Genomic DNA, 15065 nt, shown 5'->3' on the forward strand with positions numbered 1-15065 from the left:
CAAGAAAGACAACACAGGGAGAAAGCTTTGGGCAAAGGGAACGATGTGTGCAAGTCTTTGGGATGAGTGAACAAGCTGAATTCCATAAAGGAAACATTTTTGGTATGGCTGAAGTGTGACCTTCCCAACACATTTAGTCCTGCGCTGCCTCACGTTGGTCAAGTGGTTGATTTCAATTACGCTTTTCGCGAGTATCTTCCAGATCACTGCCTCCCTCACAGATCCTCCAGGATTTGTAGAATCCCAGCTGAGAATAGTCAAGGGCTTTGGTCCAAACAAATCAAGCTAATTTCCCAACTCCACCGTTGAGTGTCTACACCGCCTTGGGCAGTGCGCTTATTTTTGAGTCTCAATTTCCACATCTATGAATGAAAGAATAATATCTAGCTTGTCGAGTAGTTGGGACCATTAAATATATTGATGACTCTCTACCGAGGTACCTAATGGATTCCTTGACACACAGTAGGCACTCAATAAATCACAACCATCCCATTAGCCACCAGTGAGAGCTGAATTCTGTAAACTTCCAACTGGCAAATGCTGATATGGTTAATGGCTGCAGTAAAAACCCAGGTGTATCAAATTTAGTTTTCGGTTTTTGAAGACAAAAATCTTCAATAATTATACACTGACAATTCTCGCTACTTTTGATTACTATGACCCAGATACCGTGGAAAGCATTTATATTAAACTTTTATTTAACCCTTACAACCATGCTATGAGATCATTTGTATTTCTACAAAAGAAAAAGCCTCTTGATCTTAACTACATTTTCACATTTGGAGTTAAACAGTTTCATTTCCTGCACAAGTTCCCAGGGACTTTAATCTGAAAATATGCATTATCAAATCTAAGATAGAGGAAAACAGTCTAAAGGGTTTTCCAGATGTATTTGACAATTAAATCTCATTTTGATTGGATGTAAATTAAAATTTCATTGAGATGTACTTTGTAAAATGCTAAAATATTATCAGCACTATTTTATACCTGAGAAAACTGGGCCTCAGAGAAGTTAAGCAACTTTCCTATTGTCAAACAGCTAATAAGCGGGAGGGATTATGATTTGAAACCAGGTCTTTCTCGCTCCAAAAACATACACTTGGCCACTGGACAATTATTTTAACAGAACTCCAATTCTTAGAAGATATGTAACGTACAAAGCTATAGGTTGTTACACTACAACCCTAACAATTCTGGATAGAACAGTCCGAACAAAAACCAAAAAAACACCTCCGCATACCAAGTCAGGAGTCTCAGTCTTAAAAGACAGCACCCACTCCCAATACAGGAAAACAGCCAAAAAAAAAAAAAAAAAAAGCCACTGTGTTTCCATACGACCAACGTTTTCCTGATGTCAGGTAACTGAGACCTTCACACTACACTCAGCCCTACACCTACCTTACTGCTTCTCACCGTAGACTAGTCTGCTGGCCCCGCATCTCAAAACCCCGGCTCCACCTATAGTGGCCCATACCTTTCCCTATTTTAGTGGTGCTTAGTGACAGCTCGCATCTGGTTTTTCCCTCAGCAAAGGCAACTGCAGCTCACTGCTGAGAATATTACTAAAGCAAATAATTCATTTAGCCCAAACCTAATAATCCCTCCTCAAAACTCAGAGAATATGAAAAAGAATTGCCCCTTCTAGTTCCCTCGGCATTATGGGAACAAGCAAGACTTTCATTTACTTCAGCAGTCCATATGTTTGAAGGTCAAACAACACCTGGGTATTTCTTTGAAATGAACTAATTGAGCCTGGATGATTTAGAGTTAGTCTTGCTGAAAGACTCACTGGATCTCCAATGGTAACCCAAAACCTGCTTTTGAAAACTCTGGATTCCTCCAACCCCAGCTTTATCAAATGGCAAAGAATATTTGATGCTGTTCAAAGATTAAGGCCTGGATCAAACTGAGTAAAAAGAAAGAGAAAGGATTGCTTTCAAACTACTATGAAAAAGAGCCTTGGCCCCAGGTGTTCAGAGTGGTAAAGAAATCAGAGCCAGCCAAAGGGAAATCAGGCAGAGGGCCTAGAAAGGAATAGTTTTCAAATGCTAAGTGTGCATAGAGAGCAACTGGGAGGCATCTTGACAATGCAGGCTTCCCACCTGGTTTTTCCCTTGTATTCCTCCCCACTTCCTTTTTTTTTTTTTTTTTTTTTTGAGACAGGGTCTCGTTTGGTCACCCAGGCTGGAGTGCGGTGGCACAACCATAGCTCACTGCAGTTTCAACCTCTTGGGCTCAAACAATCCTCCCACCTCAGCCTCCCAAATAGCTGGGACTACAGGTGTGTGCCACCATGCCCAGCTAATTTTTGTAATTTTTTTTTGTGGAGACGAGGTTTCTCCTTTCCCAAGCCTAAACTCCTGAGCTCAAGTAATCCACTTGCTTTGGCTTCTTAAAGTGCTGGGATTACAGGCGTCATATGGTTTGGCTGTGTCCCCACCCAAATCTCATCTTGAATTGTAGCTCCCATAATTCCCATGTGTTGTAGGAGGGACCTGGTGGGAGATACTTGATTCATGGGGGCAGTTTCCCCCATAGTGTTCATGTGGTAGTGAATAAGTGTGGTAGTGAATTCATGTGGTAGTGAATAAGTCTCATGAGATCCAACGATTTTATAAGGGGAATCCCCTTTTGCCTCACTTCTCTCTTGCCTGCCACCATGTAAGATATGCCTTTCACCTTCTCCCATGATTGTGAGGCTTCCCCAGCCACGTGTAACTGTGAGTCCATTAAACCTCTTTTTCTTTATAAATTACCCAGTCTCGGATATGTCTTTATCAGCAGCATGAAAATGGTCTAATAAAAGGTGTGAGCCACTGCTCTCAGCACTGTTCCCCTTTTAGCTAGTTTTCATGGAAACCTCGTTCATAGGAACACACCAAATTAACACATACAGAGACCAGTTTGATTCAGATTGGGAGAAACGCATCGACTTCACCTAATTGTTTGCATCACATGCTGCCATGAACACCAATTGGTTAGTTTGGTTTATGTCAGGTGACTTCTATCTGAAAGCCAAAGGTGGTCTCAAGGTGGAAAATCCCCTCTTTGCCTATTGGTCCTCCAGTTTCACAAACACATAGGACCTTGTATTTGTCTGTATCGTTTTCACTGGCACTGTGGTGAAGTATTTCCCCATTGGACTATTAATATCTTATTCTGCACTTGACTGTGAACTTCATGTGGATCCCTGCCCATCTTGGTCATAACTGCATTAATAACTGAATAAATCATAACTGAATTATTAATAGTCATAACTGAATTAATAAACGAATGGCATTAGAAACCAGTGACTGGGCTAACAAGAGCTCTCTGGGGCAAATACATTGGGTGATACATAATTTTTTTAAAAAATGGAGAAAATGTACAACCATTTATTTTCATCTTATAATTTTAAAATGTACATATTTACCAAGAATTATACTGTTTGGTTTCAACCACACTCAACCATTATGATTGAGGGAGAGTATGGAAACTGAAATAATAACAATAGAGTATAATAATAATAATGCTCAGAGCTAAGATTTATGAAGGACTTGTGTGTCTGGCCCTGTGCTAGGTTTTGCTTATGTATTACCTCATATAATTGCCTCAACCAGTCTATGAGGTAGGTATCTCCACTTTACAAAATGAGGGGACTGGGAGCTGCCCATGAGGATTCCAATATGCCTGTGCTCTCAAACAGTATGCAGAGACTATACAGGAAGGTTCATTCATTCATTCATTCAACAAATATCTGAGTATGTACTATTACTATCCTAGAACAAAATAGTGCAGATAATAAACAAAAACACATACCATCTCAATTCTTTTGGTGTTTATAGTATAGTAGGGGAGATAGATGTTAATCAATAACCACACAAAAATGACAAATACACAGCTGTTTTAAGTGTTATAAAGGAGCAATATATATCATTAGGAGAAATTGGTCCTAGGCAGCTTTATTGAGCTGAGACCTGAGGGAGGAGTAGATGTTAACCAGAGAAGGAGAAGAAGGAGAAGTGTTCAAGGAAAAAGGAAGAGCTGTGCAAAGGCCCTGTGGTAGGAGGAAATGTATGCTTGATGAGGGAATAAAAGCAAGCTATGAGAGTCTGGAACGTGAGAGCAAGAGACTGTATATAGCCAGAAAGGTAGGTGGGCCCTAGAGCAGTGGTTTTCAGACTTGAGTATATACATCAGAATCACTTGGAAGGCTTGTGAAAACACAATCTGTTGGACCCCTTCCCCAGAGTTTCTGACTCAGCAGATCTAAAGTGAGACGTAAGATGTTGAATTTCAAAACACACTACTGGGTGATGCTGATGGATTCCAAGACTACACTTTGAGAACCACTGCCCTAGACTAGGTAGCACCTGGTGAGCTATGGGGCCGATTTCTGACTGTGTCCTAAGAAGAATGAAAAATAATGGGAGGATTCTAAGCTCGGGAGTGACATGATGCAATTTACATTTTGAAAAATGCAGGGTAGAGACAAGATGGTAGAGAGGCCAGGGTGGATGCAGGTAGATCAGCCCAAGGGTAAGCTGCAGTGCTCAGAAAAGACACCACTGTGGCATGGCCTAAGGTGATGGCCAAGGAGGTAGACAGAGGTAGGTGGATTCAAGAGAGATTTAGTCGGTGAAATCAGTAGAACTTGGTGATGAATAAGGGGGTTAAGGGAGAGATTAGCTGTTTGGCTTCTGCGTGAGCAAGTAGACAGAACAGTGGTGTTGTTCAGCGAGAGAGACCCTGGAAGAGGACCAGGCCTGGGAGAGAAGATCATGAGCTCAGTCCTGGACATGCTGAACGCAAGGTACCTTCAAGGCATTCAAAAGATGGTAAGTAGACAGTTGATATATGGGTCTGGAGTTAAGGGCAAGATCAAGACTGGAGATAAAACCATGAGTCATCTGAGTATATATGCAACTTGAAACCACAGGGGTGGATGAGATCACTGGGTAGAGAAATTAGAGTAAGAAGAGAGGGCCTAGGACCTCCAACAGCTAATGGCTGGGTAAAAGAAAAAGAACCTACAAAGGAGGACAAGGAACACTAGGAAAATAAACAGAGAGAATTGTGCCCAGAAATCAGGGAAAGGGAAGAAACAGTAGGCAATAGTACCAGTGATGCTCAGATGACAACTAAGATGAAGACTAAAGAATGTCTGTTTAGGAATGTGGAGGTAACCATGGTGAGAGGTAATTTGGTGAAGAAGGAGAGGAGAAGTTGGGAGTTTAGCAATGTGGAGGTAACCATGGTGAGAGGTAATTTGGTGAAGAAGCAGAGGAGAAGTTGGGACTAGGCCACCACTGACATTGGGGGAAGAGAGTGTTTAATCTCCAACCTTCACTTAGTATTATTTTCAATATCCTTCCCTCCCAGTTATAGCCCAAACACGTTATTTTCCCTCCCTATTCACTGCCAAATGAATCAGAAGTTCACTCTCCTTTTTTTTTTTTACCTCCCACTTACTCTTCCTGCAACTCTAATTTGAATTATGGCCTACGAATATTTTTACTAAATATTACAATTTATCTATTTTTTATTTGTTTCAACACACAGAAGAGTTGCAAAAATTTACCTGCTCTTAACAAGAAACATATCATCTCTGATTTGTCACTAAAGGAGATCTCAAGAATATGAGGCTGTAGGTCCTGATCTTATTTCTCTCACTGGCCAATTAACTTTGCAGAATGGGCAATCATGGGACTATTTACTGACTAGACCAGAGTAATGTAAAGGCAATGTAAAGTTAAAGATCTCACAAGTCCTTTACTTATGTGAGAAGTCTGCCTAAGTGGGAAAACAATTTACTTTTCTAGTGCAAATCACTCTCTGCTCGACAGCAAATTTAGAATCTGGAATTCAGAGCCGGTTAAATCAGGACACAAACCTTGGATTTGTAAATTTCCACTGGTGCAAACTTGGACAAGATACTCAATATCTCTGAGGCTTATTTTTTAATTTATGATTTAAAAAGCATAACAATACATACCTTAAAATATAGTTGTAAAGTATTAACTGCTCAGCATACTTTGTGTTAAACAATTCCATTATAACAGAGTCACTCTAGTGGTGCTCAAGCAACCACAAAGGAGAATAAGAAACAGTCATACAAGAAAGCATGTTTTCTAAATAATATCCTTAAATCCTGAATAATTTGTTTGGGCTTTTCTATATTAGCCCCTTTAAAACACTTTTAAATCTATTACACTTTCAAATTCATTCACCATGAATTGTGCCCTCTTCAACCATTATTGAACTCATCCAAAAAGGGGTTTGTTGAAGGTGCTTTTCAAAATTCAATACTCATTTCAGGTAAACGTTTATTTTTTAAAACAATTTTTAATTAAGTAAAATTAAATACTCCAAAGTTTTTACTATTTAATTTCTGTTTAAATAAAAATAAGAAATCAGGTGGTTATAAAACAAGAGAGAAATACATGAATGGAACTAGTTGATTTAATTTAGCGTTGTGCAAATAAAACAACCATATGAAAAAAACAGCAAGGAAATCATGGCCTAACACAGTTCCCTAGGGAAAAGAAGCAGAATAGACAATGGAAATGTATACCATTCATTCATTTTTTCATTCATTAAATCAGTTCTGAATACTTAGTAAAAGGCCCAGGGCTAGGATCAAAACCAAAATAAATAGCTTTCGTTGTTGATTTTGAATTTCCATCTTGCCAGGTACAGCCTTGACTCATTGTTGAAAGTAGTTGTAGAGCCAGCAGGTTGGATGCCAAGGAGAAGAGAAGAGGTGTGCTTTATGTATGGGTTCCATGGAGCTCCACTGGCACAATCAGTTAGTGCACGGTCCTTACATGTATGGATTCTCTGCAATTTGCTACAAGAAAAACAAATAATTACTGCATCAAAATTTCCACATTGAGTTTACCTGCCTATGTCCAAGCCAACGGCAAGAGAAATGCCATTCAGAAAAAGTTCTCCATCCAGTAGCATCATTGATCAACTCACCAAAATAGTAATAATACTAATGATGACCACGATGATGATTGTGATGGTGATGTTATGAGTCTTTACCTAGTATTTAAAAGCAATGCACATGTATTTACCTGTGTTATCTCTTTCTCCCTGGCAAAAACCTCAGGGTAGGAAGACTATTATAATCTCCATTTTGTAGACAAGGAAACTGAAGATAGGATAGGTTAAGGAATTTGTTCAAGGTCACACCAGTATAAGTGGAAGGATAAGACCTAAAAGTATTTTTTCTATGGTGTTGCTCCCATTTTAAAATTAAATTGCTTTTGGCTCCAAAATAAATATCCCAATTTGTAGATTTTTAAAATTCTATATCCTTATTTGCTCTACCAAAGGACTCTTTGATGGTCATAATAATCGCTACAAATCAGGGTTAAAACTACATTTCTCCCCCCAGCGTACCCCCTTTTCTGATCTACTCAGCAAAGCAGCTCAGTTTTCATCCTAGAAAACTAGCCTTCCCCAACACCTCTCCTGGCAGGGAAGCCCCATCTGATAGACCCTTGAGCGCTTTCTGTAAATTAATCACTCTGGATCCTGAAGCTCAGCAAAACTTTCTTAGTCTAACCCAAGAGCAGTAACTATTTCTCGCACCAAAAGAATGCTCTCCCTCACTGCCATAAAGGCCTCTGAGAATAGCCAAAAGGAAATGGCAGGACTGCTATTTACTCTGAGGTCATCTATAGCACTGGTGGCCTGTAGACCTGAGCAGAAAGGATATTCCTTCATTGGGGTAAGATTTTCTAGCCACAGACTTTTTGTTTTTTTGTGACAATTTTTTTTTCAAGGACAGTATCATCTTCTTTAAGGAAGTTTTTGCCTTTCATGGGTCATTTCGAATTTTTGCTGAGACACAGCCTTGGCTAGCTCAGCATCAGATCCCTGTACCATCTGGGGGGTTATTTTTTAAATATAAGATCTAATCATTTTATGCTAAGGGGCTATATTCTTTGTGAAATTCTAAAGGCCAGTAAAACCACAAAGATCCTACTTTTCATTCAGCATAGGTTGCTGTGTCTTTAAACCAAAGGTATTCCTAGTTCGAAATGGAATAAACTTTTGAGAGCACTTATTATATTCAGCCTCTGTGCTTAAAGGTAATATATATAAACTATTGCTTTTATAATCCCTACACGAACTCTTGAATGTGAGAATTATTGTGAATTCCATTTTACTGATGAGAGCATGGTTAAGTAACTTGCTCCAAATATTGACAATTTTTGAAGCTAGTGATGGGTACACAGAAGATCACTGAGTTATTTTCTCTAATTTTGTTTATGTTTAAAATTGTTGATAATACGATGTTGTCATTGTTGTTGCTTTTATAGTAACTTTCCAGAAGACCCCTAGTTCATGAGTAGAGTCTGGGGTTTTAAACCCAAATCTATTAGCCTGCAAAGCCCAAGCTCTTAAACATGACCATACTGTTGAATATTGCCCAGTTGACAGTTTTAGCCAACGTCTACCTGATGCCAAAACAGCTTCCTAGAAAACCAAAACCCAAACCAAAGTCAGTCTATTTGATGTACTCAGCAGCAGGCAACCATCCTGAAATGATTCTTAGATCAAAATTCTTGAGTATATCGAATTACAAAAAGCATTTTCTTGGTGAAAATACCTAATTTTCAGAGTAATCAAAGCTGCATCCTTACCACCAATAAGCTTTATTTATTTAGCATACCATTTGTGGTCTAAACAACCTCCCTTTAATGGGTATGTCAGGCCCAAGAACAGCAAAGATGGCATCTGGATGCAATCTCAACATAAAATGAGCATCACATTTACTGTTTCCTGGTTATTTAGCCCTCAGCATGGAAATCCATCTTAAACAATGACTGGGGGATCTTTGAGCCTTGGTCTACATGATCTTTTTATTAAACACCTAACCAGCAATATGCAGCTCGTGTTTCTGTAACTGATCACTATTGCTTTTATGGCTTTATTCTCTTGTTTATTAACGCGACACATAAAATATACTTGTTTTCTAAGTGAAAGCAACACATTTATTTTCTCCTGGTAAAATCTTACAAGACCCTGTGATACATCCTGCCATCCTTGAATATTGGGAAAGCAGGCTTAAGATTTATCCTGACACCAAATCTCTCATCATAATTATGAACAATTTCTAGCTCCAACTATTGGAGACTTTACCCCCATGCCTTGCCACTTCATTTTATCTTTGCGGAAACATGAGATTTCTCCCTCTTGCCAAAGTTTGGTTTAAGTGGACCTCAGACTTGCCTGAGGGATAGTTTCTGGAGAAGCATGGAGTTCTGGGAAGCCTCAGCCATCTCTCAGGGGAAAAGCGTTGCTTAGTTTGTAAAAAGAAAAAAGAGAAACTTCTCTGCAGAGCTTAAGAACATAAGCTGAACTGGGGGAAAGGCTGTTGGGGTGTGTTCTTATCACAAAAATGGCTTATTCAGATAATACTTCTCAGCAGAGACCCCTATGGTATTTAAACAGAAGGAAAGCATTTTGATGCACTGAAGACGCTGATAAAGAAGCCATACAACAGCCATTTCCTTGGCCAAATCCGTTATTCTATAAACATCCACACCAGATATAAATAATTTAAATATTGAAAAAATATAAAAAGCCTATCTACCTACCTCTTGCTAAAATAAATTACTAAAACTTGATGTATTTGAGCAAACCAGTTATCGCAGCACTAGGGAGAAAGATGTAAAGCTGAACAGAAGTTCACCCCACTCCATGCCCATCCCAGCCCCCACTACAGTGAATTTAAGCAAATATGACCTTGTAATTCTCAGATTTGATTTCTTAATCCAGGAGTTTTTAATGCTTATCAAGCCCTACATCTCCTTTCTATTATGAATATTTCACAACATAGCCAACAGTTTGAAAAACATTAACATGATGACTTCACTACAAGATAGAGGAGAAATAGAGAAAATTAACTTAAAATAACATTTTAAAATATAAGTGCTCAGGCATGATTACACTAGAAACATACTGATCTGTGCATCCATTTATATAAAATCATTGTTGATTTTTGAAAAGTTAGAATACACACAGAATATTGTTCATTCCTTCACTTTCCATTTGACGGTTTGAAATAAGAACTAAGGACAATCATATATATATGCACAGAATTACCGTGAGTCTGACAGCTACAAACTTAAACCAGTTCTCAAAGTGAAATTTCCATGAGTGGTGCTGTCATTGTTGATTGGTGATATGATATTCTGAAATGGTGAACAATGCTTGGTAAAACTCTGAAGGTAGTCAACTACAACCTATCCTCTGTAGTTGCAGTCCTGGAAAATATAATAATACTAAAGCATTGTCTATATATCTATATCTATATCTATCAATCATGTAGTCTAGGCTATACATAAAATAAATATATGCAGGTTTTCAACCACATGAATGTCCAGCAGGACATCTGAAAGGCATCCAGGACTCAGGAAAATTTACTATTTTCTGTGTCTACTTCACATATTGTAGGATGCCTGCAACTTCCAGACTTGACTCATTAAATGACAGTAGTATCTCCCCAGTTGTGACAACCTAAATCACTCCCAAAGATTTCTGAAAAGCCTTCTGATAGTCATATTCCTTCTGAGAACCAATGTCTGATAGAAATATCAAGCCAACACTCTTCAACGCTTTCCCACAGAATTTGTGCTGTGGTCCCCACAAGGGATGCCCTAGTGTCACTTTCTTCCCGGATACACCCTTTATCCCTTATAGAGCTCATACAGTCCCTCACCTTCAACGTGGCCTGCCTTTAGCCTGCTGGCTGGACCAGAACTCTCCTACTTCTGAATTCCCATTACATTGATTATTTCTAGGGTTCATATCAACAACTAATTATCTGCTAACCCATGCTGATATTTAAAAGCCTTATGAACATACCTTATTCTCCCAAATCAACAGAAAAGCCCTTCAAAGAAGTCTTTTTAGTATTTTCTATCTCCAAAGTGCTATGCAGGCACTGTGAGACCAAGGTTGAGTTAATAAAGCTTAAAGTTTGAGGAAATGGATTCCATACTTCTGGGATGTATGAAAATGTAAATGTGGAGCAATCCAGACTGCAACTCAAGCTTCCAAGTCATTTCTCCACCTAGATGTAATTCTCACTGTACAAATTTACACCCACTCTCATTCAGATTGTCTAATGGTGTTGCTCACACCCATTTTGACCATATTTTTATGACTTTCAGGAATTAAATCCATCTACCTTTTCTAAAGCAGTATTTCTCAAACTATACTCTGTGTATACTACCTGTGCAGAATCGACTGGAGATACCTGTTAAAAACAAAACAAAACCAAAACAATACTGGATGCTGTCCCCTGGAATCCATACTTTCAGAAACACTGCTCCGTCTAATGTGTATTCAACCAATTAAGCTAATTCCTTCATCTTAAAAACCATTCGCTAATATTTCCTGAATGTGACTAGGCCTTTTTCATTAAATGGGGAATCCAGTCAAAATGATAAGGCAGCCTCTAAATCCAACCTTATAATCCTGCAGACCACAAACCTCATGAAAACCAGGCAGGCCACAAGGGGTGGAATTATTCTGGTAGCTGACATTTAGTGATGCTGCCTAATTGATTTCAGGGCTTTGGCATTTGCCATTCGCCTGTTAGTTCATCAATATTTTGACTATGTCACTTATCATTTTGCTAGACAAGTTATATATTTTATTCCCTGATATGCTCAAATACTATGTGTGTGTGTGTGTGTGTGTGTGTGTGTGTTTAAGTAAATTTGTGCCAAAATTCCATGAGGAGACAATTGCGCAGGGGAAAAAAGTCAAGAATGTGAAATTCCCTGAATTATATTTCTTCTGCTGGATTTGAAACTCCAGGGGGCAATGACTATCTATCCTCTTTACTCCTATATCCTCTTTCCCTTCTCGAGTCTGGCACATATTAAATGATCTCTAAGAATGTAGAACTATTATTTGATCCAGCAATCCCACTGCTGGGCATCTATCCAAAGGAAAAAATTATTATATTCAAAAGATACTTACATATATTTGTTACAGCACTAAGTGCTGCAATATGGAACCAACCTTATTGTCTATCAATGGATAATTGGATAAAGAAAATGTGGTGTGTGTGTATATATATACATAAATAGGGGGTGGGGATGGGCATGTGTGTGTGTGTGTGTGTATATATATATATATATAATCATTTTGCTAGACAAGTTCTATATTTTATTCCCCGATGTGCTCAAATACTGTGTGTGTGTGTATGTGTGTATTTTTAAGTAAATGTGTGCCAAAATTCCATGAGGAGACAATTGCACAGGGGAAAAAGTCAAGAATGTGAAATTCCCTGAATTATATTTCTTCTGTTGGATTTGAAACTCCAGGGGGCAATGACTATCTATGTATCTATCTATCTATCTATCTATCTATCTATCTATCTATCTATATACACACACGCTATGGAATACTCTTCAGCTGTAGAAAAGAATGAAATCATGTCTTTGCAGAATCATGGATGGACCTGGAGGTAATTATCTAAGTGAAACAAGTCGAACACAGATAGACAAATATCACCTGTTCTTACTTATAAGTGGAAGCTAAATAATGTATACATGTAGATGTAGAATGTGGAATGATAGGCAATGGAGACTCAGAAGGGTGAGGGAGTGGATGATGAAAAATTATTTAACGAATACAATGTAAGTTATTCGAGTGATGGATACTCTTTATAAAAGTGTTGATTTCACCACTATGCAATCTATGCAAGTAACAAAAGTGTACTTATACCCCATAAATTTATTGAAATTAAAAAATAAAAAATAAAAGGCAAATGTAAGTATGGTTTGTTAAAAAATGTATGGAATGAATGCATCATTCATATAAAATATACGGACTGAACACTCAACATTAATGATGAGTGATAATTCATTCATTGGATAAATATTTGTAAATTTCCTACTGTGTAGATTTAGCTCTGCAATGCCACTGCCACTGTTCATAAGAAGTTAAGCATCTTAACTATAACAACAGCTACATTAATAGAGTATTTAATCTGTCAGGTGCTATTCTGTGTATTTCACAGACATTACTCATTTAATCCTCAGAAACCCCAAGGAGGCAGGCACCACTATTCCCATTTTGCAGATAAGAAAGTTAATTCTTAGAGAAGTGAAGTGTCTTTCCCCTTATAAGCAGAAAAGGCAGAATTCCAGCCTAGATTTGTCTGCCTCCAAAGACTGTGCTCTTAACCACACCACCCTTCTATTCTTAGTTGGATGATTGGAGGTGGGGTTACAATAAAAGACAATGATCAAAGAACTTCGGGTCCCAGAGACATACATGATGAAGTGTCAAGGGGCTATTGGTAAGGGTACAAGGGATGAATTCAGAGCCAGGAGTGACAATAGAAGGTGGCAATGGAGGTATAGGGGTTGAGGTCACTCTTGGAAGGAGAGTGGGGTATCTCCTGTAAAATGAGGCATTCCAGGGATGGAGGCTAAGGAGGAGGCAGCACTGTACCCTCCAAGCACACAGGTTGGAGTAGAAACCCATGGAGAAGAAACATACAGACTCAGGAGTATATGACTCAGGAGCTTGCAGGAGATTTAGCTGGAAGCAAACCACACCAGGGAAGCCCACACAGCCCCCTGCAATGATGCCTCAGGAGTGTCCTGCAAACAACTCTCATGTTCCTCACACAAGCCGGTCTCCTTTGTTCTCTAGCTCAGCCAACAAAACCCTGTGAGTCATGCCCTGGCCCCCTCATATCTGTTCTTAGCCAGTTGTCTGCAGACACTCAGGAAGGAGGACAGATGAAAGATGAAATTACCTATCTGGGTTTCAGGGCAGGCTGGGCCAACTGTGATAACTGATAGGGAAATCTCTGGAATTCAGGTTCAGTTTGGAGAGTCACCAGGAAGTGGATTACAGCTAATGAGAGGTTATATGACTCAACTCCAGCACCATGCGCAGGAACAGTGGGAACGGAGGCGATGGCTAATATAGAACTACTCTCTTGGTGGGCTGGGAACACTTACCCGTGGTCCTCGTCTCTTCCTTGAGTCTAGGGAGCCATGGCTGCCATTTCTCCTTCCTGCCTCCTCCCCAGGAAGAAATGGTCTTCAGCCTCCCCTCTCAGGCCTGTTTGAGAAACAGGAGTAGGAGACCCTGCATAGGTATCATGACTGTGTAGGTTTGTGAGCCCTTGTCAGGCTCTGCGCAACAAGTTGAATTCCTTGCTCACCAAGAAGTAACACTTATCCTCTAGTAAAAAAAAAAAAATTGAGACAGAGTCTCGCTCTGTCACTCAGGCTGGAGTGCAGTGGCGCGATCTCAGCTCACTGCAACCTCCGCCTCCTGGGTTCAAGAGATTCTCTATTGCCTCAGCCTCCTGAGTAGCTGGGACTACAGGCACCTGCCACTACACCCAGCTAAATTTTGTATTTTTAGCAGAGACAGGTTTCACCATGTTGGCCAGGCTGGTCTCGAACTCCTGACCTCAAGTAATCCACCTGCCTCAGCCTCCCAAAGTGCTGGGATTACAGGTGTGAACCGTCACACCCAGCCCTCTAGTAAAATTCTTTAAGTGAAATTTAACATAAGATGGAATGATAAATGCCCAGGGGAAAGACACCAAACCTATATGCCAGACCCAGTGCTAAACACTTTACCTGGAACCATCTAGTATAATCATGATTATAACAACCCTACAAGGCAGGTGCCACGATCATTCTTATTTACAGATGAGAGAACTGAGGCAGAGCAAGGATAAGCACATCTGATTCTGCTACAATGCACGTTTGTTCCAACATGGTTGATGTGTGTTATGAGCCACGCCATCCTCAACTGGTGCTACAACTTTCCCTAGGATTCCAGATAACCAGCTCCTGCCACTTCACAGTAGCTGGCAAGTTGCAACCCTTTCCACCTCACTTCCATAGGCAAACCCTAGGTCTTTTTCCAGGCGGAGTGCCATATTTATTGTTGTATTTATGTTATTTTTTAGCAATTTATCAAGTGTAAAGTTGTCTACTGGTTTTTTTTTAGTGTCAAATTAAATTTGGCCTAAAGCTGTCTCCATATCTTGAGTCCATATGTATCAAAACGCAACCTAA

The 15065-nt window shown here is 39.4% G+C and overlaps 1 long non-coding RNA gene across 1 annotated transcript; it reads right to left on the reverse strand.

Annotated features, from left to right (window-relative positions):
- Window positions 1-6288: 6288 nt before the first annotated feature.
- On the reverse strand, window positions 6289-14076 carry LOC124909390 (uncharacterized). The gene is made up of 2 exons (XR_007095950.1): window positions 13989-14076; window positions 6289-6829 (listed from the first exon to the last, which is right to left on the reverse strand). It is a non-coding gene; the product is annotated as an uncharacterized LOC124909390 (long non-coding RNA).
- Window positions 14077-15065: the final 989 nt, after the last annotated feature.

Source organism: Homo sapiens, chromosome 3 (genome assembly GCF_000001405.40).
Source record: "Homo sapiens chromosome 3, GRCh38.p14 Primary Assembly".
Lineage (NCBI taxonomy): Eukaryota > Metazoa > Chordata > Mammalia > Primates > Hominidae > Homo > Homo sapiens.